The sequence below is a fragment of the Homo sapiens genome, chromosome 20, assembly GCF_000001405.40.
Source record: "Homo sapiens chromosome 20, GRCh38.p14 Primary Assembly".
Classification (NCBI taxonomy): Eukaryota; Metazoa; Chordata; class Mammalia; order Primates; family Hominidae; genus Homo; species Homo sapiens.
This window is the reverse complement of record NC_000020.11, coordinates 35,690,153-35,714,160: the sequence shown is the minus strand read 5'-3', so window position 1 is coordinate 35,714,160 and position 24,008 is coordinate 35,690,153. Positions and strand designations below refer to the sequence as shown.

At 41.8% G+C, this 24,008-nt stretch overlaps 3 protein-coding genes across 22 annotated transcripts in view, besides 4 other annotated features; 2 read left to right on the top strand and 1 right to left on the bottom strand.

Annotated features, from left to right (window-relative positions):
* The window catches only part of RBM39 (RNA binding motif protein 39), a 40,914-nt gene extending 28,100 nt beyond the window's left edge, over positions 1-12,814 (top strand). For 9 of the 17 annotated variants that reach the window (NR_040723.2, NR_040722.2, NM_001242599.2 and 6 more), the window contains 6 exons: positions 1,065-1,142; positions 4,887-4,937; positions 6,960-7,041; positions 8,831-8,936; positions 9,415-9,493; positions 9,580-12,814. Coding sequence is in view for 14 of the 17 variants with exons in the window: in NM_001242599.2 (NP_001229528.1) it covers positions 1,065-1,142; positions 4,887-4,937; positions 6,960-7,041; positions 8,831-8,936; positions 9,415-9,493; positions 9,580-9,680 (497 nt within the window). In the remaining 3 variants the exon portion in view is untranslated. Of the gene's footprint in view, positions 1-303; positions 447-1,064; positions 1,143-3,740; positions 3,879-4,886; positions 4,938-6,959; positions 7,042-8,830; positions 8,937-9,414; positions 9,494-9,579 lie in introns of those variants that run through there. The other 8 variants (NR_040724.2, NM_001242600.2, NM_004902.4 and 5 more) reach the window with 4 other exon arrangements.
* ROMO1 (reactive oxygen species modulator 1) lies at positions 13,181-14,756 on the bottom strand. Of its 2 annotated transcripts, none has more exons than NM_080748.3 (3): positions 14,705-14,756; positions 14,398-14,528; positions 13,181-13,363 (listed from the first exon to the last, which is right to left on the bottom strand). In NM_080748.3, exons 2-3 carry the CDS (start codon positions 14,526-14,528, stop codon positions 13,255-13,257), a joined length of 240 nt encoding a protein of 79 aa, NP_542786.1. In that variant the 5' UTR covers positions 14,705-14,756; the 3' UTR covers positions 13,181-13,254. The 2 variants fall into 2 exon arrangements, with proteins under 2 accessions (NP_542786.1, XP_016883167.1); XM_017027678.2 differs by having other exon boundaries at positions 14,710-14,756.
* Positions 13,923-14,582: an enhancer, noted in NCBI's record as "OCT4-NANOG-H3K27ac-H3K4me1 hESC enhancer chr20:34287501-34288160 (GRCh37/hg19 assembly coordinates)". NCBI's record gives its function as "activates a minimal SCP1, AML or CMV promoter by ChIP-STARR-seq in primed H9 embryonic stem cells {active_cell/tissue: H9 hESC(primed)}" and the evidence as "EXISTENCE:reporter gene assay evidence [ECO:0000049][PMID:30033119]".
* Positions 14,132-14,351: an enhancer, noted in NCBI's record as "active region_17794". NCBI's record gives its function as "activates an Ori minimal core promoter by ATAC-STARR-seq in GM12878 lymphoblastoid cells {active_cell/tissue: GM12878}" and the evidence as "EXISTENCE:reporter gene assay evidence [ECO:0000049][PMID:35858748]".
* Positions 14,583-15,242: an enhancer, noted in NCBI's record as "OCT4-NANOG-H3K27ac-H3K4me1 hESC enhancer chr20:34286841-34287500 (GRCh37/hg19 assembly coordinates)". NCBI's record gives its function as "activates a minimal SCP1, AML or CMV promoter by ChIP-STARR-seq in primed H9 embryonic stem cells {active_cell/tissue: H9 hESC(primed)}" and the evidence as "EXISTENCE:reporter gene assay evidence [ECO:0000049][PMID:30033119]".
* The window catches only part of NFS1 (NFS1 cysteine desulfurase), a 31,301-nt gene continuing 22,101 nt past the window's right edge, over positions 14,809-24,008 (top strand). The window contains exons 1-6 of one of the 3 annotated variants that reach the window (NR_037570.3): positions 14,809-14,969; positions 15,571-15,680; positions 16,361-16,477; positions 17,701-17,784; positions 21,791-21,912; positions 23,596-23,748. Coding sequence is in view for 2 of the 3 variants with exons in the window: in NM_021100.5 (NP_066923.3) it covers positions 14,873-14,969; positions 15,571-15,680; positions 16,361-16,477; positions 17,701-17,784; positions 23,596-23,748 (561 nt within the window). In the remaining variant the exon portion in view is untranslated. The remainder of the gene's footprint in view (positions 14,970-15,570; positions 15,681-16,360; positions 16,478-17,700; positions 17,785-21,790; positions 21,913-23,595; positions 23,749-24,008) is intronic. The other 2 variants (NM_021100.5, NM_001198989.2) reach the window with 2 other exon arrangements.
* Positions 14,842-15,031: a silencer, noted in NCBI's record as "silent region_12862". NCBI's record gives its function as "represses an Ori minimal core promoter by ATAC-STARR-seq in GM12878 lymphoblastoid cells {active_cell/tissue: GM12878}" and the evidence as "EXISTENCE:reporter gene assay evidence [ECO:0000049][PMID:35858748]".

Genomic DNA, 24,008 nt, shown 5'->3' with positions numbered 1-24,008 from the left:
TGATTTACTGTGGGTATTGTAGTGGAAAAGAAAGGTAGCCATGTAAACTAAGAAAGGGAAAAAGATTTTATCTTATTTTGTAGTTGGCGTTATCCTTGGTCACACTGCATATTATTTTATAGATGATGTGCCTTGTATTAATGTATGGAAATCTATATTATGTGTTTTGAATGCCACAGTATAAGTTGCAAGATTTCTTTTCCTTTATGTAGTGTTTATATGTCATACTTAGGAATAAATTTAGTTGCAGCTATTATAATGTTACAAGTTTTTCTTTTTGTAATTTCTTATTTTTTGATGCAGGGTCTGGCTCTGTTGCCCAATTTGGAGTGCAGTTGTGCGATCCTGGCTCACCGCAACCTCTGCCTCTTTGGCTGAAGCCATCCTCCCACCCTAATCTCTAAATAGCTGGGACTAACAGTTGCAAACAACCACCACCACGCCTGGCTAATTTCTGTGGTGGTTTTTTTTTTTTTTTTTTTTTTTTTTTTTTTGTGTTGGTTGGTTGGTTGGTTGTTTTTAAGAGATGGGGTTTCTGCCGGGTGCGGTAGCTTACAACTGTAATCCCAGCAGTTTGGGAGGCTGTGGCGGGTGGATCACCTAAGTTCAGGAGTTCGAGACCAGCCTGACCAGCACGGAGAAACCCTATCTCTGCTAAAAATAAAAAATTAGCCGGTCATGGTGGCGCATACCTGTAATCCCAGCTACTCAGGAGGCTGAGGCAGGAGAATCACTTGAACTTGGGAGGGGGAGGTTGCAGTGAGCCGAGATTGCGCCATTGCACTCCAGCCTGTGCAACAAGAGCCTGTGCAACAAGAGCGATACTCCATCTCAAAAAAAAAAGAGAGTTTCACAATTGTTGCCCAGGTTGGTCTCGATCTCTGGGATTTAAGTGAACCACCTCCCTTGGCCTCCCAGAGTGCTAGCTAAGTTACAGGCGTCAACCACCACACTCGGCCCTCCTTGCAATTTATTTTAGTGAAGTGATCATGATATTAATGACCCAGGAAACTTCGTTTCTCTGCTCTCAACATAGTAGGAACTTTAAGACTATTCTTTTACAGGTACAGGTTTGCAGATTCCGCCAGCAGCACAGCAAGCTCTACAGATGAGTGGCTCTTTGGCATTTGGTGCTGTGGCAGGTAGGAATTGAATCTTTTCTAATTTTAAATCGTTTTTTCATCTAATTCGAAAATTTTCCAAATTTTTACATTTAAAAGGACTTACTGAGAATTCAATTCATCAAGTACTTATAGCCTGTTAGTTTGTAGTCTTCTATTTAAGGAAGTGGAGACATAGGGTAGAATTAACCATGCATCAAAATGAGTTGTCAGGACAGTTTTAAACCCTGCACCCCAGTTTTTAGTCGAAATTCATTGACATAAGTTTATTTTCAAATATATCAGTTTTATTGAATACTACAAGGTGTATATTGTTTGATCGAAAAAATATTTATAATATTAGAATTTAGAAAATATCAGAGGCACTTAAAAAAGCTTTACTTAAAACTATTGTAGTAGTAAGAGTGTTGAGACAGTTATTTTTCTTTATAGTACATAAAAATTTAAGATCATGAATTGGGAGGTGGAGCTTTTGGAGGCAACAGGAAAAGAAGGGTGAATTGACGTTTTTACAATTATGTATAAAGGGATTTAGTTCATAAAACACTCATTCCCCTGTGCCCCCCAACCCCCCGCCCCCTTTTTTTTTTTTTTTTTTTTTTTTGGATAACAGTAGACTTGCTCTGTTGCCCAGGCTGGAGTGCAGTGGTGCAGTCTCGGCTCACTGCAACCTGTGCCTCCTGGGTTCAAGCAGTTCTCGTGCCTCAGCCTCCCAAGTAGCAGGGATATTTTTAGTAGAGATGGGGTTTCACCATGTTGGCCAGGCTAGTCTTAAACACCTTACCTCAAGTGATCTGCCCACCTTGGCCTCTCAAAGTGCTGGGCTTACAGATGTGAGCCACTGCGTTCGGCCCTCATTTCTTAATTACCTGTAACTTTTACATTGACCCAAATCTGGGAGATAGGATAGGATCTAATTTTGAAATGTCAAAGACGTGCTTTTAGAACATCATAAGAAGAACCTTTTGTTATTTTGTTGGTGGGGGATGGAGTCTCACTCTGTGGCTCAACCTCTTCCTCCTGGGTTCAAGGAATTCTGGTGCCTCAGCCTCCCACATAGCTGGGATCACAGACATTTCCCACCACACCCAGCTAATTTTTGTATTTTTAGTAGAGACCTGCCTGCCTTGACCTCCCAAAATCCTGGGTTACAGGCATGAGCCCCCTCACCTGGCTGGTCCTTTGACCTTATATATATATACGAAGTGAGACTGTAACTGAGAAGATAGATTTTAGACCCTGGTAGTACCACATCTGAAAGTACGAAGAGGTCCTGTGGTTGCTTCATGATTTTCTTCTAAATTGAAAGCTCAATATTCAATTAAAGTAGAAGACGACTTTTGTTTTTACATTTATTTTTTCACTGTTTTGCCTTCTTAGTGGTTGTTCTTAAGTGTGTGAGTACCTTTAGAAAACCTGCATTTGGTTTCATTTCCTTTCTATAAATTGTATGACTTATTTTGAAATTTGACAAGCAGTTACTCCCTAGAATTTCTGACAGCGAAGCCAGTTTATACTTACAAGAATCAGAACCAGTAAGGCATTTGTGTATTTAACAGTCATTTGATCCCTCCTCAAGTTATCTTTATTCCATTGGATTAACACATAATTTATTTTGAGCTTATAGTGTTAGCTATTCGATCCTTTACAGTGAGTAATTGTCGATTGCTACTTGCTCTAATTGATAGTAAACTCATTACCTAGAGTTTATTATTACAGTTTGAAAGGTTTTTTTTTAACCAGAAAACTGTTTACCTGTATTGCTTCTCATTGTTCATAATGTTCTTTGACAACTAAGAAAATTTTTAGTTCATGTTCTAGGTATTCCACTAAAGGGTGGTGAAAGATTTCTTCCTGCCTTCAGGGAATTGATACAGTGACAAAGGGGTCATTTATAGACAATTTTCTTACACCCTGGATGCTGTATCAGATACGTTGATTTGCTCTTAATGTCTTCAGTTAACTGAAGATTATCCACTGTTAAATATCAGTTCTACCGTTAGCCTTTATTTCTTTTATTATGGATGAATGTACCTCTTGGGTTCTTTCTCATCGTGTAGTATATATTAAGATTGTTTGAATGTAGCCAGCTAAAATCCTAAAGCTCCATATGGATTCCTGACAATAGTGTCCCTACCCTTTATCTATGTATCTAGTTACATTCCCTTTTTTAGTGCTGGTGGTGGTAGAGATGATTTTAAAGATCATTCTGTTTTATTAGCCTTGCTATAAATTTCTTCTGCATTAATAACACTCATGTTTTAGGTGAATATCTGTGTAACTGGATATTTTTCTCCAGATGGTGGTCATTAAAATATTACATATAACTTGCTGAAATAAAATTGTTGAGTGTTTACTGTGTTTGAGGTGCTTGTCCCCTAAGTCTTTTAAAGCTATTGGGTGAAACTAGGGATGGGTCATCACTATATCCACATTATTTTATTCTGCCAGTTTGATAGGCCCTTTCTAAAATAGGTTAGAGTCCTTATCTTTATGAAAACCATGCTTTATTTTTCACTTTGTCACAAATGATATGACAAATCATTTTTGAAATTATGATTGGGTTGGTAGACAAAATAGCATGGATTTCTGATATCTATACATTTTTTCCCATTTTAGGAAAAAAAAGACAAATTCTGTTATTATTTAAAGTTTATTGACACTGTTCACATGGTCCTATCTTCAAGTTCCTTCAGTATACACCAGTTACATTTCTTCAGCTCCCTGAGATGCCAATTTTGAGCACCTAGGACCCAGGTATTTTATCCCAATATAACTTGGGCTGCAGATCCCTGTACATTTTTGCCCATGTTGCAAGAAACCCATATATGTGGTAATAAAGTGTTGCAGTTGAATCAAATTTTAATGAAAATCAGGTTACTGAATCAAAATTTTGATGTCATATATTTCTATAAAAAGAACTTCAAGAGAGCATTATAGCACTGTGGCAGACTTACTGTTCAGACTTGCTACTGTTTCACTCTGTAGCAGCTTTCAGATGGCGTCCACTGTAGAAATCTAACGATTATATGAGAAAATATATTGGTCACATCCCTCTTATTTTTAATACTGATTAGATGTTTTCATTTTCCTAAACTTCATAGCTTTTAAGAAAACTCCAGAGATTTTTATTTCTGCCTTGCTAAATTTTTACACTAGGCCAGGAAATCAATAATCAAGTTGCCCCATTATGGGCTAGATTTGACAAGTTAAATCTTTGAAAAGTCCTTAAAAAAATAATATATGCATACTGTTGGAATGGTGTATTTCCCAATGGTGATGTTCTTCCTAAATTGGGAAATCATGGAAACTGTTACAGCTTTTTGATGTGCAGTATTTACAATTTTATAATATCCTTTTAAAGTGTTAAGTACTATGGCCACTAAAAATATAAATACTTGCATTTCCCAAGTACTTGGAATTGAATTCTCAAGATCAGGGTTTTTCACTCATTTTCTGACCGGTGTGCTTCCCTTTCCCCATTTCCCATTATTCCCAGCTGTATAGTAGTGTAGTGAAAATCACTTGAGATGTGGAAGAGTAGTCTAGTCTAGGAAGAGAGAGGGAAAAGTAAGTTTCCCAGGATAAGAGGGGGAAAAAAGGCCCCAAAGCCTTCTCAATGAGGAATGGGGAAGGAGGTTTTGCTGCCAGGTTTTACTAAGTGCATTTGAATGAACCCTGCTATTGTAGTCCTCTTTTATTAATGCTTTCCTGACATTTACCCTGTTAGTTGAGGCTCTTCATTGTTCCTGCACTGAGCTGTAGAATTCTCTTTTGTTATAGATTTGCAAACAAGACTTTCCCAGCAGACTGAAGGTGAGTTGAAGTGTTCATATTTTTTATTTTTGTCTTTGAAATAGAATTAAATGTAGTAAGACAGTTTTCTATATTTATTGTCATATTTTTATACCAGTAATTTGGACCAAATTTTGACACAGTGACACATAGTGGTATATTCATAGTAATCTGTCTGTATTTCAGAAGACCTAACCCAAATTAATGGACTTAAAAAAAATCAAAATAACAATTTTTTTTTTTGCTTTAGTTTGCTTAAAATTTTCAACCTTGTTTTTGTTTTATGCCTACCTGTGTGTTCTAAGTGTTGATAAGTTGCATATAGAAGTCAGGAAATGAAGTATTCTCTTATTAACGAGTAGGCAAGTATTTTAGAACCTGGAATCTGGAAGTTGTCTTAGTATAAAGTTGTGAATCATGCTATAAAACTCACCTTTTTTTGCTTAAGACATAGTACTCAGTGATTTATTTAAGCCAGTACCAAGCAATAAGAGGTTTATACATACTTAAATTACATGCACATTTCAGAGAAACCATTCATTAAGTAGGCTATGATTTCTTGTTTTTAGTTATCACTAAATCTCTGTTGCTTGACATGAGCATTTTGCTGTTAATGTAAGTTCTATATCTTTTGTAGGAGTATGCTTAATGTTTAGGGAAATGATTATGAGAAAGATATGTCATGTTCCATCACAGTCAAGAATTAAATTTTTTCACAAACAAGATGCTTCTAATCAGTGCTGTTTTGTTAAGAGATTTTTAAAAGATTTTCCTAGATTTACTGTGTTCTGCATTGATCTAGCTTGAACGTGAATGTTTGTATAGTACGTTTTCTTAATATTTTTTAGTATTCATAGTATATAATCATACTAAACTTGAGAAACTGGAAGAATCAAGTCTTCCTCAGTTCTGTTTAGACTTTCTAGTTTTTTTTAAGGATACTTCCATATCTTCTGTAAGCTACACAGTGAGCTTCATTTTTGCACAGTTATAATACACTCTCGAATCTTTAACTTTTTTCCAGCAGAATTTGACATGTTATATTAAAATTTTGTTTTATTTAAAATAAAACTTTATGAAAGAAAAAACTTATATGTTACAGAGAAGCTAAAGCACCTGTAATGCTACCAGAAAGTTATCATTTATGATATATTTCATGCACAGCCCTAATTTCTCGGTGTAATATTTCTGATACTTTAAGTGATCGTTTATTTTAATTACCATAATTTCTAATGCACTGTTTTATCCTTAGCTTTGTTTGTTATTATGTTTTGGAATGAAATTTGGTCAGATAATATGATTACGGTGAGTTCTGTAACAGCTACTGGTAATATTTTTGTAAATCACGTGAAAGCATTGGAGCAACTGTCTTGGAAAATGCTCTTTAAACTTCAAACCCCAGTATGTTTTGGTAGTAGTGGATATTACACATATATGCTGCTCTTTTCAGTGTTCTTTTATTGTGCGAAAACATTTTTAAAACATTTGATTTATTAATAGGATTTATTTTTAATAGGATTGTTAATAGGATTTATTTTTCTAGGACATTGTCTTTAAACACTTGGATGATTTTATATGTCTTAATTCTTTAATAATTTGTAGATTTAAAAAACTTCGTGGGCAGAAAGCGAAGAAATAGGAAAGGATATAGATTTATTTGGCATTTCAAAGGATTTTGTTTTATTATCCCCTCTTATTTGGGTATAAACTCAAATCTATTTTATCCTTCATCTGTTTGGATTGATGTGTATTGAGATTTTGTCTAATTGAACTGATTTTGATAACACATAAAGTTTAATTTCCCTGTTAAAATAGGACTCCCAAATTTCTGAATGTCTGTTTCAAGTATTAGGTTACCTCAGTTTTCTGGCACCTAAAAGCTACTGATAACATACATTAGTAGCAATATTAAATAAGGTAAAATAACTCCAGTGACATCCTAGTTACATGCTTGGGGTGGGTTTTTGGTTTCGTTTTAAAGTATTTATGAGGGATACTTTCATGCATTTTCCATGAAACTAATTTTTCTCTTTCTTTTTTTAGCTTCAGCTTTAGCTGCAGCTGCCTCTGTTCAGCCACTTGCAACACAATGTTTCCAACTCTCTAACATGTTTAACCCTCAAACGTAAGTAATGGACTTTATTCTTGATATTTCCTATCAAGGCGTCAATAGAGTTGTTTTATATATTTCTCTTTTTTTTTTTTTTTTTTTTTTTTAAGATGGAGTTTCGCTCTTGTTGTCTAGGCTGGAGTGCAATGGCGCGATCTTGGCTTACTGCAACCTCCGCCTCCTGGGTTCAAGCGATTCTCCTGCCTCAGCCTTCCGAGTGGCTGGGATTACAGGCATGCGCCACCACACCTGGCTAATTTTGTAGTTTTAGTAGAGATGGGGTTTCACCATGTTGGTCAGGCTGGTCTCAAACTCCCGACCTGAGGTGATCCGCCCACCTTAGCCTACCAAAGTGCTGGGATTACAGGCATGAGCCACCGGGCCCGGCCTGGTATTTCCGTATTTCATTTGAAACTGCATAGTTTTGATCCTTTTAAAATAATTTTTCGGCCAGGTGCGGAAACTATGCCTAGCTAGTGATTAGGATGCTAATAACTATTAGCATTAGAATGCTAGTAACTATGCCTAGCTAGTGATTAGAATGCTATTTTTTAACTCTTCTCATTGGTTTTATAAATCATATTTATAATATAGTACATCCAATCAAAATGTAGATTTTTGTTTCGATTTCAATAAGTTACATTTCATATAATGACAATTGTATGACTGTTTCATCCAAAGAGTCTTGAATTCTTTTGTTTTCCCAGTACCAAATTTACTTTAGTTTTATCTATGAAATGGTGATAAACTTTCGTTGTAAGTATCATTTGATAGCATTGAAGTATTTAACTTTTTTTGTTGGAGCCAGAGTCTCAGTCTAGGTTGGAGTATAGTGGCGCCACCGGCTCTATCTTAGCTCACTGCAACCTCCATCTCCCAGGTTCAAGCAGTTCTCATGCCTTTCGAGTAGCTGGGATTACAAGTGCACACCACCACGCCCAACTACTTTTGTGTTTTTAGTAGAGACAGGGTTTTGCCGTGTTGGCCAGGCTGGTCTCGAACTCCTGACCTTAAGTGATCTGCTCGCTTCAGCATCCGAAAGTGCTGGGATTACAGGCGTGTGCCATGATGCCTGGCTGATTTTTGTATTTTTATAGTAGAGCTGGGGTTTCGCCATGTTGGCCAGGCTGGTCTTGAACTCCTGACCTCAAGTGATGTGCCCGCCTCAGCTTCCCAAAGTGCTGAAATTACAGGCATGAGCTGCTGCGCCTGGCCCATTTAACTATTTAAAAGTCACTTTCAAGTTATGCAGAGTCATAAAGTAGGATGGGATCAATATTTTCTATCTTATTTTGCTTTGATTTTCCCCAGAGCCCTATCTGTATCTTTTAACTTTTTTTTTTTTTTGAGACGGAGTTACCTAGGCTGGCATGCAGGGATTTGATACTGGCTCACTGCAACCTCAGCCTCCTAGGCTCAAGCGATTCTCCTGCTTCAGCCTCTTGAATAGCTGGGATTTCAGGCATCTGCCACCACTCGTGGCTAAATTTTGGATTTTCAGTAGAGACCGGATTTCTCCATCATGGCCAGGCTGGTCTCAAACTCCTGATCTCTGGTGATCTGCCCACTTCGGCCTCCCAAAGTGCTGGGATTACAGGCATGAGTCACCGCGCCCGGCCTCATTGAAAATTTATTTTTCAATACCAGACTGCAGTGTTCTTTGGGGCAGAGACGTTCTGTCAATGTGCTTTTTTTCCAAAGTATTTTTTTTAATTCATAGAATATTTAAATTTTTTGATACATTTGTAAATATATAGTTTGTTAGTTTCAATAGTATTTAAGAGTCCTTAATACTTTCTTACAGAGAAGAAGAAGTTGGATGGGATACCGAGATTAAGGATGATGTGATTGAAGAATGTAATAAACATGGAGGAGTTATTCATATTTATGTTGACAAAAATTCAGCTCAGGTATTTTCATCTTTTTTTATAAATGATGTTAGGTTGTTCGTCTCTACCTTAATCTTCGCACATTATGTGGTGCATGTTATGGTTAACCGTCTTCCATTATAGTTTTTGTGTGTGTGTGCCTGAAAGTAGCTTTAATATAGTGGCTAAATAAACCCTCCAAAATAAAAGAAAATCAGTAACAATTTGATCAGGGTATGAGAGGATTTCTAGTAATGCTCAAAGCTTGCCATGAAATCTTGGCATCTTGATTCATTCTTAGGCTGCATACAAATCGTAGAGAAAAGATAAAACGGCAAATTTGAGAGTAGAAGTCATTTTTTAATAAAATTCTAGTATACCTATTAGCCAGTGGAACCATTATGGTAAACCAGTTTGTGGTTATAGAGCACTAAGTTTCTACAGGCAACTTGAATAAACATAACTTGGGTCCATTTTGCATACAGCAACATCTTTACCTTTTTTTTCATTTTTTCTGTAGGGCAATGTGTATGTGAAGTGCCCATCAATTGCTGCAGCTATTGCTGCTGTCAATGCATTGCATGGCAGGTGGTTTGCTGGTGAGTTTGAATTTATTTTTTGACTGATTGTTATTAAGGCTCTATAATGAAGATGCTAAACCCAACATGTCTGTTTCTTTTAATAGGTAAAATGATAACAGCAGCATATGTACCTCTTCCAACTTACCACAACCTGTTTCCTGATTCTATGACAGCAACACAGCTACTGGTTCCAAGTAGACGATGAAGGAAGATATAGTCCCTTATGTATATAGCTTTTTTTCTTTCTTGAGAATTCATCTTGAGTTATCTTTTATTTAGATAAAAATAAAGAGGCAAGGATCTACTGTCATTTGTATGCAATTTCCTGTTACCTTGAAAAAATAAAAATGTTAACAGGAATGCAGTGTGCTCATTCTCCCTAAATAGTAAATCCCACTGTATACAAAACTGTTCTCTTGTTCTGCCTTTTAAAATGTTCATGTAGAAAATTAATGAACTATAGGAATAGCTCTAGGAGAACAAATGTGCTTTCTGTAAAAAGGCAGACCAGGGATGTAATGTTTTTAATGTTTCAGAAGCCTAACTTTTTACACAGTGGTTACATTTCACATTTCACTAATGTTGATATTTGGCTGATGGTTGAGCAGTTTCTGAAATACACATTTAGTGTATGGAAATACAAGACAGCTAAAGGGCTGTTTGGTTAGCATCTCATCTTGCATTCTGATCAATTGGCAAGAAAGGGAGATTTCAAAATTATATTTCTTGATGGTATCTTTTCAATTAATGTATCTGTAAAAGTTTCTTTGTAAATACTATGTGTTCTGGTGTGTCTTAAAATTCCAAACAAAATGATCCCTGCATTTCCTGAAGATGTTTAAACGTGAGAGTCTGGTAGGCAAAGCAGTCTGAGAAAGAAATAGGAAATGCAGAAATAGGTTTTGTCTGGTTGCATATAATCTTTGCTCTTTTTAAGCTCTGTGAGCTCTGAAATATATTTTTGGGTTACTTCAGTGTGTTTGACAAGACAGCTTGATATTTCTATCAAACAAATGACTTTCATATTGCAACAATCTTTGTAAGAACCACTCAAATAAAAGTCTCTTAAAAAGGCCACAGGAGATCTTCATTTTTCAAATGTTTTAAAGTTACAGAAATTTGAGAACAGAATTAGCTTCTTTTAGTCTCAATTCAGTACTTGCCTCTTGGGAAAATGTTCCGAGTCTGCGGAAACTTGCCCTCACGTTGTCCCCCATGAATTCCTTTATTCTATTAGAGTCTAGCCCTGTGTATTTTAGAAGAATGTATCAAAACTGAGGGGTTTACCAAAAAGAAAAGGAAACAGCCTGGCCTTAAAACCTGGGCATTCTTGGTCTCCTGCATTGTCTGGGCATATTTATGAAGAAATTTTCACCATTTACAATACATACTTAACAAAATGGCTTAACTTCAAACTGGTTTCCAAAATTGATTTATATATTAATATATTAAATAAGGTGCATATATTACTGTATTAAGGGGTTTTGAGCTTTCATACTAGTTGGGAAGCAAGCTGTCACCATTTATACTCAATTCTCTTCAACTGTTTATCTCTTGGTAAATCTTTTGAGTAGGAAATGCTGCTCCTAGCTTATCTTCAAATACTGAGTTCCTTACCTCATTTGTTCAACTTTTTTTTTTGTTAGCATTGAAGCACAAGTTTTACAGGCTTATTCAGAATTTCATATCAGTCGTTTTGTTTGACATTTATCCCAATAATTGTTCTAGTGATTTAATTTGTATGGAAACTCCCAAGGTTCAATTTCTTTTTCTTTTTGAGATGGAGTCTTGCTCTTTGGCCCAGGCTGGAGTGCAGTGATGTGATCTCAGCTCCATCTCCCAGGTTCAAGCAATTCTCCCACCTCAGTCTCCTGAAGAGCTGGGACAGGTGCGCACCACCGTGCCCAGCTAATTTTTGTATTTTTAGCAGAGACGGTGTTAGCCCGGCTGGTCTCACACTGACCTCAAGTGATCTGTCCGCCTTGGCCTCCCAAAGTGCCGGGATTACAGGCATGAGCCACCGCGCCCAGCCTCATTGAAAATTTACTTTTCAATACCAGACTGCAGAGTTCTTTGGGGCAGAGACACTCTGTCAGTGTGCTCTTTTTCCAAAGTATCTCCTGCTATCAGTTTTTCCCCTTGAACCAAGTCTTCCTAACAAATTTGTTGTGTCATTGCTTTCTAGGGAACTGGACCAGCAAATGTGGCCTTTAGTGGTTAATCTCATCTGTGCCAAAATTTAGTTGCTACCAGAGTGAAATTTGGTGTGTAAATAATGTTCAGAGGAAATGTGGTTGGAGTGTAGTAACTTGAATAGTGTCGTGCATAGAAAACAGCTCATTCTGAGTGAAACTGTTTATGTCCAATCAGTTCCTGAGTCAGCATCCCACTGGTTCGAAAATCTGTAACTAATCTGGTAATGTCCTTAATTTCCTCCTGCCTGTCAGTGTTCCAAAGTGTTCATCTAGTTTTCTTTTATCTTTATAATAATTACTACCATCTTTGAAAGTTCTGTTTAAGAAATGCTTAATGGGCAATGCGGGTTAGTAACTCCAGGGTCTGCGTGGCCTGGGCAGGTGAGATGGACAACTGCCTCATTACAGAAGCTTTTTATCATCAAACTAGTAAGTTTTGTGGAGGGCAAGCTATATAGATTGTTGATGAGTGGTTAGAAAATCATCTGGAATTTAGCCAGTTGAGAAGCTACAGAAGTTTCTATTTTTTTTTACAGTGGATGAACTGTTTTGCTTTTTCTGATAAAGCCACTAGGTATATCTAAATAACAACCTCGGGCTGGACGTGGTGCCTTATGCCTGTATATGTGAACACTGGGAGGCGGAGGCGGGTGGATCATGAGGTCAAGAGTTTGAGACCAGCCTGGCCAACACAGTGAAACCCCGTCTCTACTAAGAATACAAATTTTTTTTGTTTTGAGACAGAGTCTCGCTCTGTCGCCCAGGCTGGAGTGCAATGGCTCGATCTCAGCTCACTGCAACCTCCACCTTCTGGGTTCAAGCGATTCTCCTGCCTCAGCCTCCCGAGTAGCTGGGAATACAGGCGCGTGTCAACACACCCGGCTTAAGTTTTTGTATTTTTAGTAGAGACGGGGTGTCACCGTGTTACCCAAGATGGTCTCCATCTCCTGACCTTGTGATCCACCAGCCTTTGCCTCCCAAAGTGCTGGGATTACAGGCATAAGCCACCGCGCCCAGCCTAACAATACAAAATTTAGCTAGGCATGGTGGCACGTGCCTGTTATCACAGCTACTCGGGAGGCTGAGGCAGGAGAAACGCTTGAACACAGGAGGCAGAAGTTGCGGTAAGCCGAGATCGTGCCACTGCACTCCAACCTGGGCGACCAAGGAAACAACCAACCTCAGGATGAACATTGCTTTGGAAATAATGCAATGTGTGACCTTGAGGAAATTTCGGCTTATAAATCCATTTTTTGAAGTAGTTTTTCTCCTTTAAAATGGTGACCGTAGTAACAAGCACAGAGTTGTACTGAGTAATTAGTTGAATAGTATCTATGGAAAATACTAGACACTCCCAAGTTTTCCAATTTTGGATTAAGAGAGGCAGGCCTTGTGAAAGAGATACTAACCCTAGTCATTACGTTAGTCCATCTCTTTAGTGCAGAAGATCCTTGGCAAAGCTGGATAATAGGCTGAGAGAAGAATATTCCTTTAAGAGAGGGACACTGACTACTCAAAGACTTTCTTTTATTAGTACATGGGCTGGGATTGATGGGAAGGGACAGATGTAGTTGGCAACCATGGTTAGCATCGGATGCCCATCCCAATGGCCATGAATGTGCCAAAGGTGCCGCCACTCTGCATCATGGTTTTCCCAATGCCGCCCATCAGCTCTCGACCCCGCATTCCGATCCTGAGGAGGAAACCAAGATGGAGCTATTTGGTAACAAAAATATCAGAAAGAGTATTAACTGCTCCTTTCCAATTTTTTGCTAACACTAGTCTAGCAACCCCTACATCTGATTTTCCACTTACTGGATATTATATCTTACTACCTGGGGTGGGTAATGAGAAGGAAAAAGATCCATCTGGGTCTCCAGGGTATTTTTCTGGTGGATGTCGTATTAACTGCCTTCAGTTTGTGGGAGGCAGCAGATGCAGTGTAAAATACATAGAGAAACCAGCTTTTTTGACTGGTGTTGCCTGCAGTTTAAGACCCAATAAAGACATCTGTCTTTTAGTTTCTTGGTGTTAATGATTTTGGAGTAAGGTGGGGGTTCAAGAGTCAGCTCTACAATTTACACATAGTGTCAAGTGTAAAATGGGCATCTCAACATTATTTACAGGATTTTGAAAACTACAGTATTTAGCACAGTGCTTAACATAGAGTAAGTGCTCTGTAAATGATAATTTACAATCTAGGGATATGGCAATAACAGCCTCTAAATGTGAAAATGACCTTTAGAGTGTAAAGTTTAACTGCTTTATCTCTGTATCCTGTATCCAGAATAGTAAAACCGCTGAACGAGTTTCTTTCCTTATGCGCAATTGGAAAAAAAAATAAAAGCAACAGTAGTAACTAGTTACTGAGCACTTAATATGTGCCAGATGCTGTGCAAAGTGTGCTGATCGAATTTTTACAACTCTATAAGTTAGATGCTACTGTCTTCATTCTACACTTAAGGAAACCCAGTCTCCAACTTGCCTAAAGTCACCGAACCAGTAAGAAAAGGGCCAGAAAGCATTTTGACTCTAAAGCTCAAATTCTTAAGCACTGACGCTTCCAACCTGACTTTACAGATTGAAGGTGGTTTGGAATGAGTCTGGCTCGCGAGGGGACAGAGAGGGAAGTCGAAAGAAGGAGGCTGTGTTCAGGCTCCAGGCCGAATGGGGCAGGGCCGGAAGGTCTGGTTGTCCTGCCCAGAGATCACCGCCCGCGCCCCTCACCTGAGACAGGAAAAGGTGCCGAAGAGCGCCCCGGCCGCCATGCCCACGGCGCAACCCATCACGAAGCCCATTTTGACACGGTCGAAGCAGCTTGGCTGGGACTGTCCGTAGGGACCCACGGCCACCGGCATCTGCGGGGGATAGGAAAGTGTGGGCCCAGGCGCTGGCCCAAGAGTCGGGCGGGGACGGAAGCGGTAGGCTGGGAAGTGGGCCCAAGGGCTCAGGGGAAGTAAGGGAAGGAAAATCAGTGGGTAGCCCGACTCCACCACCCTCTTCGCGTTCCGGCCCCGCGTCGCCCGGCGCCTACCTCACCTCGCTCGCGGGCTGGGTCGCTCAGCTCTACGTCTCTCACGGAAAACGACGGGGAGGGCGCTCGCGGCCCGATGAATCGCTTCCGGAGCGCCGGGCAGCACTTCCGGGAGCCTGGGGCCCAGGACTGCAGCGGCTTCGGAAGGTGGGCTCTGCCAGCGGGACCATGCTGCTCCGAGCCGCTTGGAGGCGGGCGGCAGTGGCGGTGACAGCGGCTCCAGGGCCGAAGCCCGCGGCGCCCACTCGGGGGCTGCGCCTGCGCGGTACGCTCGGGTCCCGCTCTCCGGGAGGCGCGGACCTGTCCCCTCCGCGCGGCGACGCAACTGAATATTCCGGAGCCTTCCTGTCCACCCTGCTGCCCAGACCCTCTGACCCTTCTCTCAAATGACACATCCCTCAAACTTTCTTAGGCGGGTCCCCGAACGGTTGACCCCGGCGCACCACCCCTCGCACCCTGCGCGACAGGCCCCCAGAGCCGTGGAGGCGCGTCCTTCAGACCGCTCCTGGCCAAGTTACAGATGCTGCTCCGGGCTCCCGTGCAGACCGTTACCTTCGGTCAGAAGGGACTGCACCTACTCTGGCTCCACGTTCCTTCTAAACGTCTTTGCCCTTTAGAGCCTTCCTTCCTACGATACCATTTGAATATCAACTCAACACCCCCTCCAGGAACCCTCTCTCCCTCTCCCTTACCTCCTTTTACAGCGTGTCAGGTATCTGGTGTTGTTTTCTTTCCATTGAGATTCGACCCTAGCATCCCTTACACTTATCTCACCTCCAGCCAGATTTTTCCTTCTGCCCTTTGGATGCCATGCGTTCATAGTTGCCTTCGGTCTTACTTGGCTACTCCGTTCCATTTTTTATCAGTTGGAGACCGTGCTCCTCAGTCTGCGGTTCCCGCAGATACAGCCGCTGCCCCGGAGGTGGGGCCAGTGCTGCGACCTCTCTATATGGATGTGCAAGCTACAACTCCTCTGGTAAGGATGAAGCTTTTCCCAAGGCTGCTTATAGGAAGTAAATGATGGGCGTGATCACGCAAAGAAATGGCTGAATCCCTGGAGAAGTGAGAGCCGTGAAGGTGTGCTGGAAAAAGCACTGAGCGAGGAGTCGGGAGGCTTAAATTCGAGGCCACTGGCATTGGCTTTACTACTCACTAGCAATTGACCTTGGTCAGATCACTTCAGCGCAGGCTCTATAGTATTAGTTAAAAGCATGGGCTCTGGAATGAGCAGAACGGCCACTTAGTAACTGTGTGAACTTGGACAAGTATTAAACGGGTTAAAAGACTAATGCAAGTTTTCACCAATGTGTGACCAGGGGTGTTTGCCTAGGCCCTGTCCTGTCCCAGCCCCTTATAGATCACATTACCTGGCAGGAATGGAAACACCAGCAGAAACAGATGTCGGAACAAGGCAGTGTTTGTAGACTACCTGAGGGGAGGCAGAACAATCCGAGTTGGGATGGGTTGTGAGTGGGAGTGTATTAGGTTGATATTTGGTGGGTAGTTTTGTGGGAACAAAAGAATGTTTGAGGCCTCCTCTAGGCAGTGCCTGAGGGGTTGAGAGTGTCTTAAGGCAGGGTGGCCAGGTCTGAGGGGTGGAGTGGGACCTGAATTGACGATGCGCTCAAGGAAAATGATCTGTTCTGTTGTGTTCAGGACCCCCGGGTGCTTGATGCCATGCTCCCTTACCTAATCAACTACTATGGGAACCCACACTCCCGGACACATGCTTATGGCTGGGAGAGTGAGGCAGCCATGGAACGTGCTCGTCAGGTTAGTACACAGGAGTCTAGGAGGTTCTAAGGTCAAAGAGGGGCAGTGGCCTGTGGGAGGCATTTCTTTCTTGGTAGGTGTGCATGGAGGTAGAAATGGTTTTGGATTCTTTCTGGAAGAGATTCAAAGAGCAGCCTTGGAGTTTGACTGCAGGCATTTGATTGGTTCCCATATTTCCTGGCTAAATGACTTGGGCAAGTTATCTAATTTCTTTGAGCCTTATTTTCCTCATTTAAAACAGAGATTGTGGTAGTTTCTACTCTGTAGGGTTACTGGGTGGATTAAATAAGACAATGCTGATAAAGTGTTTATTACCACAACATCTGTAAGTAAGAAGTACTATAAATAGTAAGAGCTCAATAGTTCTTTTTTTTTTTTTTTATGAGATGGAGTTTTCACATTTGTTGCCCAGACTGGAGTGCAGTGGCGCACGATCTTGGCTCACTGCAACCTCTGCCTCCCGGGTTCAAGTGATTCTGCTGCCTCAGCCTCCCAAGTAATTGGGATTACAGGCACACGCCACCATGCCTAGCTAATATTTTTGTATTTTTATTTATTTATTTATTTACTATTATTTGAGACAGAGTTTTGCTCTTGTTACCCAGGCTGCAGTGCAGTGGCACGATCTCGGCTCACTGCAACCTCTGCCTCCCGGGTTCAAGCAGTTCTCCTACCTCAGCCTCCCAAGTAGCTGGGATTACAGGCATGCGCCACCACACCCGGGTAAATTTGTATTTTTAGTAGAGACGGGGTTTCTCCATGTTGGTCAGGCTGGTCTTGAATTCCCGACCTCAGGTGATCCACCTGCCTCAGCCTCCCAAAGTGCTGGGATTACAGGCTTGAGCCACCATGCCCGGCCTAATATTTTTGTATTCTTAGTAGAAATGGAGTTTCACCATGTTGGCCAGGTTGGTCTCGAACTCCTGACCTCAGGTGATCTTTCCACCTCGGCCTCCCAAAGTGCTGGGGTTACAGGAGTGACCCACCACACCTGGCCAATAGTTCATTAAAAAAAAAAAGTTATTATTTTGCATTGGGCTGGAAAAGAGCCTGGGATCTGGGATATAACTAGAATCTGATTCTTGTAGGTGCAGACCTTCATCCAGGGCAATTTGGTGGAATGCAGTGGAGCTCTTCTTGCTCCAGGGCTGTCCCACCTGTGTCTGCAGCTCTATTTCTGCCTGGGGAACTGATGTTATATATCTCTGTTTCTTGGCTTGCAGCAAGTAGCATCTCTGATTGGAGCTGATCCTCGTGAGATCATTTTTACTAGTGGTGCTACTGAATCCAACAACATAGCAATTAAGGTAAGAGAAGGGAACCAGAGGGTGTATGTGGGCTTTCCTGACCTAGGAGATAGTGTCCCTCCATCATTTGGACTCGTATATGTATTTCGCAGCCATCCATCCCCACCCCATTGTGAAGAGAAGGCTTGCAGTCTTTCTGATTTGTTGCTTCCTTTAACCCTTTGCAGTCTACTCTTTCTTAAGTCTTTGCTGCTGTTGGTCTGAGTTGAGTGAGGCAGTTGGATAGCAAAGGAGGTGGCCCTCAGGCCATTAACCACTTGTTTTTTTTTTGTCTGGCAGTTACTTCAGAGAGTGGATAATGGTGATTGAACCTTTTCTCCATTCTTCTTTTTTTTTTTGATACATAGTCTCACTCTGTCGCCAGGCTGGAGTGCAGTGGCGCAATCTCAGCTCACTGCAAACTCCACCTCCCAGGTTCAAGTGATTCTCCTGCCTCAGCCTCCAGAGTAGCTGGGAGTACAGGTGCCCGCCACCATGCCCAACTAATTTTTATATTTTTAGTAGAGATGGGGTTTCACCATATTGGCCAGGATGATCTCAATCTCTTGACCTGATGATCCTCCCATCTCGACCTCCCAAAGTGCTGGGATTACAGGTGTGAGCCACCGTACCCGGCCTTTCTCCATTCTTTTTATCTAGTAACAACAAGTTATATATGTGATTTCAGGGCTGTCCTCCTCTCAGCCTTCCTTTTTCTTTCTGATCAGATCTATTTGCAACAAGTTCCTCCTGTTTCTTTAGATATCTCCATTTTGAAGTGCTTGTCTTTGTGGTGCCCTCTGCAGGCATTCACATGGTCACCCATTCTGGGATCAGTCATTTTGTCCTGGGTACATAGAAGATCTTTGGTGCTAATGCAAGGAAAAGGTACTTTTAGTAGTCACGTTGGTGTTTCATAGAACATAGTCAGATTTCACTGGGCCTGGTTGCCAGGATTATGTGAGTAAATGCCAAGGCTCTGAGAAATTGTGGCTTGCTGTACTTTGAACTCTGGCTCCACTTGCTCTCATCTTTGTCTTTGAACTGTGCTGCCAGTGTTGGTTTCTTTGACCTTGGCCTGAATATAGGAGGCCTAGGACGGGCTTCAGGGTCATCAGCACTCTGCCTGATCATGTTAACAGGAAGGCATCCTTCCTTGGGACTGCAGAGACCAGAGAGTCGGGGTGAAGGTTCCTCCAAAGGTGGAGATGGTTTCTGAAATGGAGAGCATTTTCAAAACTTCGAAAATATTTTCTTTGGAAGTCTCCACAGATTCCAAACCAACAGGTCAAGGATCGCTAAGAGTACCTGTGATGATGTTTCTTTTAATCTCCATGATTGGTAGAGTAAAATAATCTATAAATTGTTAAAGAAATCTACATCATGGGTAACTGAGATAAAATAAGGTGGGTGGGTGGTGAAATGTCATTTAAATGAAATTTTTATAAACAACTGTAACATTTTGAACTATCATCACCATCCCACAACCATTTTTTCTTTTTTTTTTTTTAGACTGAGTCTCACTCTGTCATCCAGGCTGGAGTGCAGTGGCACGATCTTGACTCACTGCAAGCTCCGCCTCCTGGGTTCACGCCATTCTCCTGCCTCAGCCTCCTGAGTAGCTGGGACTACAGGCGCCCTCCACCACACCCGGCTAATTTTTTGTATTTTTAGTAGAGACAGGGTTTCACTGTGTTAGCCAGAATGGTCTCGATCTCCTGACCTCGTGATCCGCCCTCCTCGGCCTCCCAAAGTGCCCCACAACCATTTTTACTTACTGATGTAAATACTTTTTAGGATAAAATAGAGTATAAATCAATTATAAATGTTTCTCATTTATGTTCTTTGTCCTCATGAACAGACCATTTTTACATAGTTATAATTTTGTCCTATATGGTTTAATATTCTGCTTTTATTTTATTTATGTGTTTATTTTTTATAAGACAGGGTCTCAGCCGGGCCCAGTGGCTTACACCTGTAATCCCAGCACTTTGGGAGGCTGAGACCGGCAGATCATCTGAGATCAGGAGTTCGAGACCAGCCTGACCAACATGGTAAAACCCCGTCTCTACTAAAAATGCAAAAACTACCTGGGTGTGGTGGCACACCCCTGTAGTCCTAGCTACTTGGAAGGCTGAGGCAGGAGAATCAGTTGAACCCAGGAGGCAGAGGTTGCAGTTGCAGTGGGCCGAGATTGCGCCATTGCACTGTAGCAACAAGGGCGAAACTCTGTCTCAAAAAAAAAAAAAAAAAAGACATGGTCTCATTCTGTCACCTAGGCTGGGGTGCAGTTGCACAATCACAGCTCACTGGAGCCTTGAACTCCTGGACTCAAGCAATCCTCTCATCTTAGCCTCCCAAGTAGCTAGGCTTACAGGCGTGTACTAGCACGCCTGTCTAATTTTGTTATTTTAATTTATTTATTTATTTTTTTTTGAGATGGAGCCTGGCTCTGTCGCCCAGGCTGGAGTGCAGTGGCGTGATCTCAGCTCACTGCAAGCTCTGCCTCCTGGGTTCACGCCATTCTCCTGCCTCAGCCTCCTGAGTAGGTAGGACTACAGGCTCCCACCACCACGCCTGGCTAATTTTTCTATTTTTAGTAGAGATGGGGTTTCACCATGTTAGCCAAGATGGTCTCGATCTCCTGACCTTGTGATCCGCCTGCCTTGGCCAACCGAAGTGCTGGTTTTACAGGTGTGAACCACCGCGCCCGGCCTGTTATTTTAATTTTTGTAGAGATGCGGCTCTCATTATGTTGCCCAGGCTGGTCTTGAACTCCTGGGCTCATGTGATCCTCCTGCCTTTGCCTCCCAAAGTTCTGGGATTACTGGCTTGAGCCACTGCACCTGGCTTTTTATTCTGCTGTTAAAGGTAATAGTCTTTTATAAGCTCTGGGGAGAGATGCACATTTTCTTTCCAAGTTTTTAATTTTTGAAAAATAATTCTGTCACATATGGTGTGTTTTTTTAAAACCAATGGAAAGATTTAAAATGAAGTGTAGGCCGGGTGCAGTGGGTCAAGCCTGTGATCTTAGCACATTGGGAGGCCGAGGCAGGCAGGTTGTCTGAGCTCAGGAGTTCGAGACCATCCTGGGCAAAATGGTGAAACACCATCTCTACTAAAAAATACAAAAAATTAGCTGGGTGTGGTGGCTGTAGTCCCAGCTACTCGGGAGGCTGAGACAAGAGAATTGCTTGAACTCGGGAGGCAGAGGTTGCAGTGGGCCGAGACCACACCACTGCACTCCAGCCTGGGTGACAGAATGAGACCGTCTCAAAAAATAAATAAACAAAAATAAAATAAAATGAAGTGTAAATCTTCCTCTCCTTCCCCAAGGACCCCAGTCCCTGATCCTGTTCTGCAAAGTTGATACTGTTAATTCTTTTTTTTTTTCCCAAGGGGGAGTCTTGCTGTGTCACCCAGGCTGGAGTGCAGTGCCGTAATCTTGGCTTACTACAACTTCTGCCTCCAGGGTTCAAGCGATTCTCCTGCCTCATCTTCCTGAGTAGCTGGGATTACAGGAGCCTGCTACCACACCCAGCTAATTTTTGTATTTTTAGTAGAGACGGGGTTTCGCCATGTTGACTAGGCTGGTCTCAAACTTCTGACCTCAGGTGATCCACCTGCCTCAGTCTCCCAAAGTGCTGGGATTACAGGTGTGAACCACTGCTCCTGGCCCATTTTTTTTTCTTTTTTCTGTTTTTTGAGACAGAGTCTTGATCTCACCTAGGCTGGAGTGCAGTAGCCAGATCTCAGCTCACTGCAGCCTTGACCTCCTTGGCTCAGGTGATCCTCCTGAGTAGCTGGGACTACAGATGTGTACCACCACGCCAGGCTAATTTTTTTTTTTTTTTTTTTTTTTTTTTTTTTAGTATAGATGATGTTGCTCAGGCTGGTCTTGAACTCCTGAGCTCAAGCGATCCTCCTGCCTTAGTCTCCCAAAGTGGTGGGATTATAGGCATTAGCCACCACCACATCCAGCCCCCTTTTTTTTTTTTAATTAATTAATTTATTTATTTATTTTGAGATGGAGTCTCACCCTGTCGCCCAGGCTAGAGTGTAGGGGCATGATCTCGGCTCACTGCAACCTCTGCCTCCCAGGTTCAAGCGATTCTCCTGCCTCATCCTCCTGAGTAGCCGGGATTACAGGTGCGTGCCACCACACCTCGCTAATTTTTGTATTTTTATTTTTATTTATTTATTTATTTTTTGAGACAGAGTTTTGCTCTTGTTGCCCAGGCTGAAGTGCAATGGCGTGACCTCGGCTCACTGCAGCCTCCAACTCCTGGGTTCAAGCGATTCTCCTGCCTCAGCCTCCAGAGTATCTGGGATTACAGGCATGTACTACCACGCCTGGCTAATTTTTGTATTTTTTTTAGTAGAGACGGAGTTTTTCCATGTTGGTCAGGCTGGTCTTGAACTCCCGACCTTAGGTGACCCTCCCTTCTCGGCCTCCCAAAGTGTTGGAATTACAGGTGTGAGCCACCGCGCCTGGCCATTTTTGTATTTTTAGTAGAGATGGGGTTCCACCATGTTCGTCAGGCTGGTCTCAAACTCCTGACCTCGTGATCCACCTGCCTGAGCCTCCCAAAGTGGAGGGATTACAGGCATGAGCCACTGCACCTGGCGTTCTTTTTTTTTTTTTTTTTTTTTTTTTTTGAGATGCAGTCTCGCTCTGTTGCCCAGGCTGGAGTGCAATAGCACTCTTGGCTCACTGCAACCTCTGCCTCCTGATTTCAAGTGATTCCCCTCCCTCAGCCTCCTGAGTAGTTGGGATTACAGGTGCGTGCCACCGGGCCTGGCTTATTTTTTAATTTTTAGTAGAGATGGGGTTTCCCCATGTTGGCCAGGCTGGTCTCAAACTCCTGACCTTAGATGATCCACCTGCCTCGGCCTCCCAAAGTGCTCGGATTACAGTCGTGAGGCACTGCACCTGGCCGCTTTTTTTTTTTCTTCAATGAGATAAATGTTTTTTTTAGTTTCTTGTAATAGTTGAAATTCCAGGAATTTTTAAATGTACCTTTATTGTTTCTTGTGATATTAACAGTAATACCTACTCATGACTTGTTTACTGTTATATCACTGGCACCTAGAAAATTACTTGGGATACTGGAGGTGCTAAATATTGGTTAAATGAATGAATCATAAATTCCAATAATATAGAGTAGAACTCTAAACACATTTTCACTGCTAATTTGCTGTATATTTCTCCAGATTTTTAAATACCTACATTAATCTGTATACTATTATTATTTTAATAGATTTTATTTTTTATAGCAGTTTTAGGTTCACAGCAAAATTGAAAGGAAGGTATAGAAATTTCCTATATATGCCCTGCCCCCAGGTATGCACAGCCTTCTGCCATTATTAGCATCCTCCATCAAGTGGTACATTTGTTGCAATTGATGACCTGATATTGATACATCATTATCACCCAAAGTCCATAGCTTATATTAGGATTCACTGGTGTTGTACATTCTATGGGTTTGGACAAATGTGATTTATTCTAGTGAATTATTGAACTTGACCGGGCTTCGGGAAGCCCTGAATTTGTATTTGACTGGGCAGAAGTATGGGTAGCTTGAGACCCCTGGGACTTATGTCTGGTATCTGAACTAGGGGCAGTCTTGTACGATTGAGCCCTTAACCCATGGGGTTTTCACTAAGTCTGGAGAGTTAGCCTCAGAATTGAATTATAGGATACTCAGTTGGTATGAGAGAACTGGTGTTGGAGCATACTGTTCTTGCCCACTTTTCCTTTACAAATGAGATTGAAGTCATTGCTGTCTCTCTGAGTATGTTCTCCTTCCATCTGTCACCACCAATTTCTAGGGGGTGGCCCGATTCTACAGGTCACGGAAAAAGCACTTGATCACCACCCAGACAGAACACAAATGTGTCTTGGACTCCTGCCGTTCACTGGAAGCTGAGGGCTTTCAGGTCACCTACCTCCCAGTGCAGAAGAGTGGGATCATTGACCTAAAGGTAGGAGTGGCTATTGGCAGGAGGAGCAAAAATGGAGGAGCCTGGCTTCAGCTTGTAAATTTCTCTCTTGGGCCCTAGCTGGAGCTTGAAGGAATAGATCTAACAGTTAGGATGAAGTTTAGAGAAATAAGCCTGGCAGAGAACGAGATCATGTTCCCCTTGAGTGTGTACTGTCCTCCTTTTCTCTGGAGGACTTGTTTCTTTTTCTTTTTTTTGAGATGGAGTCTCACTCTTTTGCCCAGGCTAGAGTGCAGTGGCTT

Excerpts from the sequence above, each read along its gene's own strand:
- ROMO1 (NM_080748.3), bottom strand. The coding sequence starts at position 14,528 with ATGCCGGTGGCCGTGGGTCCCTACGGACAGTCCCAGCCAAGCTGCTTC. Across the intron at positions 13,364-14,397 it reads GGCACCTTTTCCTGTCTCAG|GATCGGAATGCGGGGTCGAG; the intron begins GTGAGGGGCGCG and ends TTTCCTCCTCAG.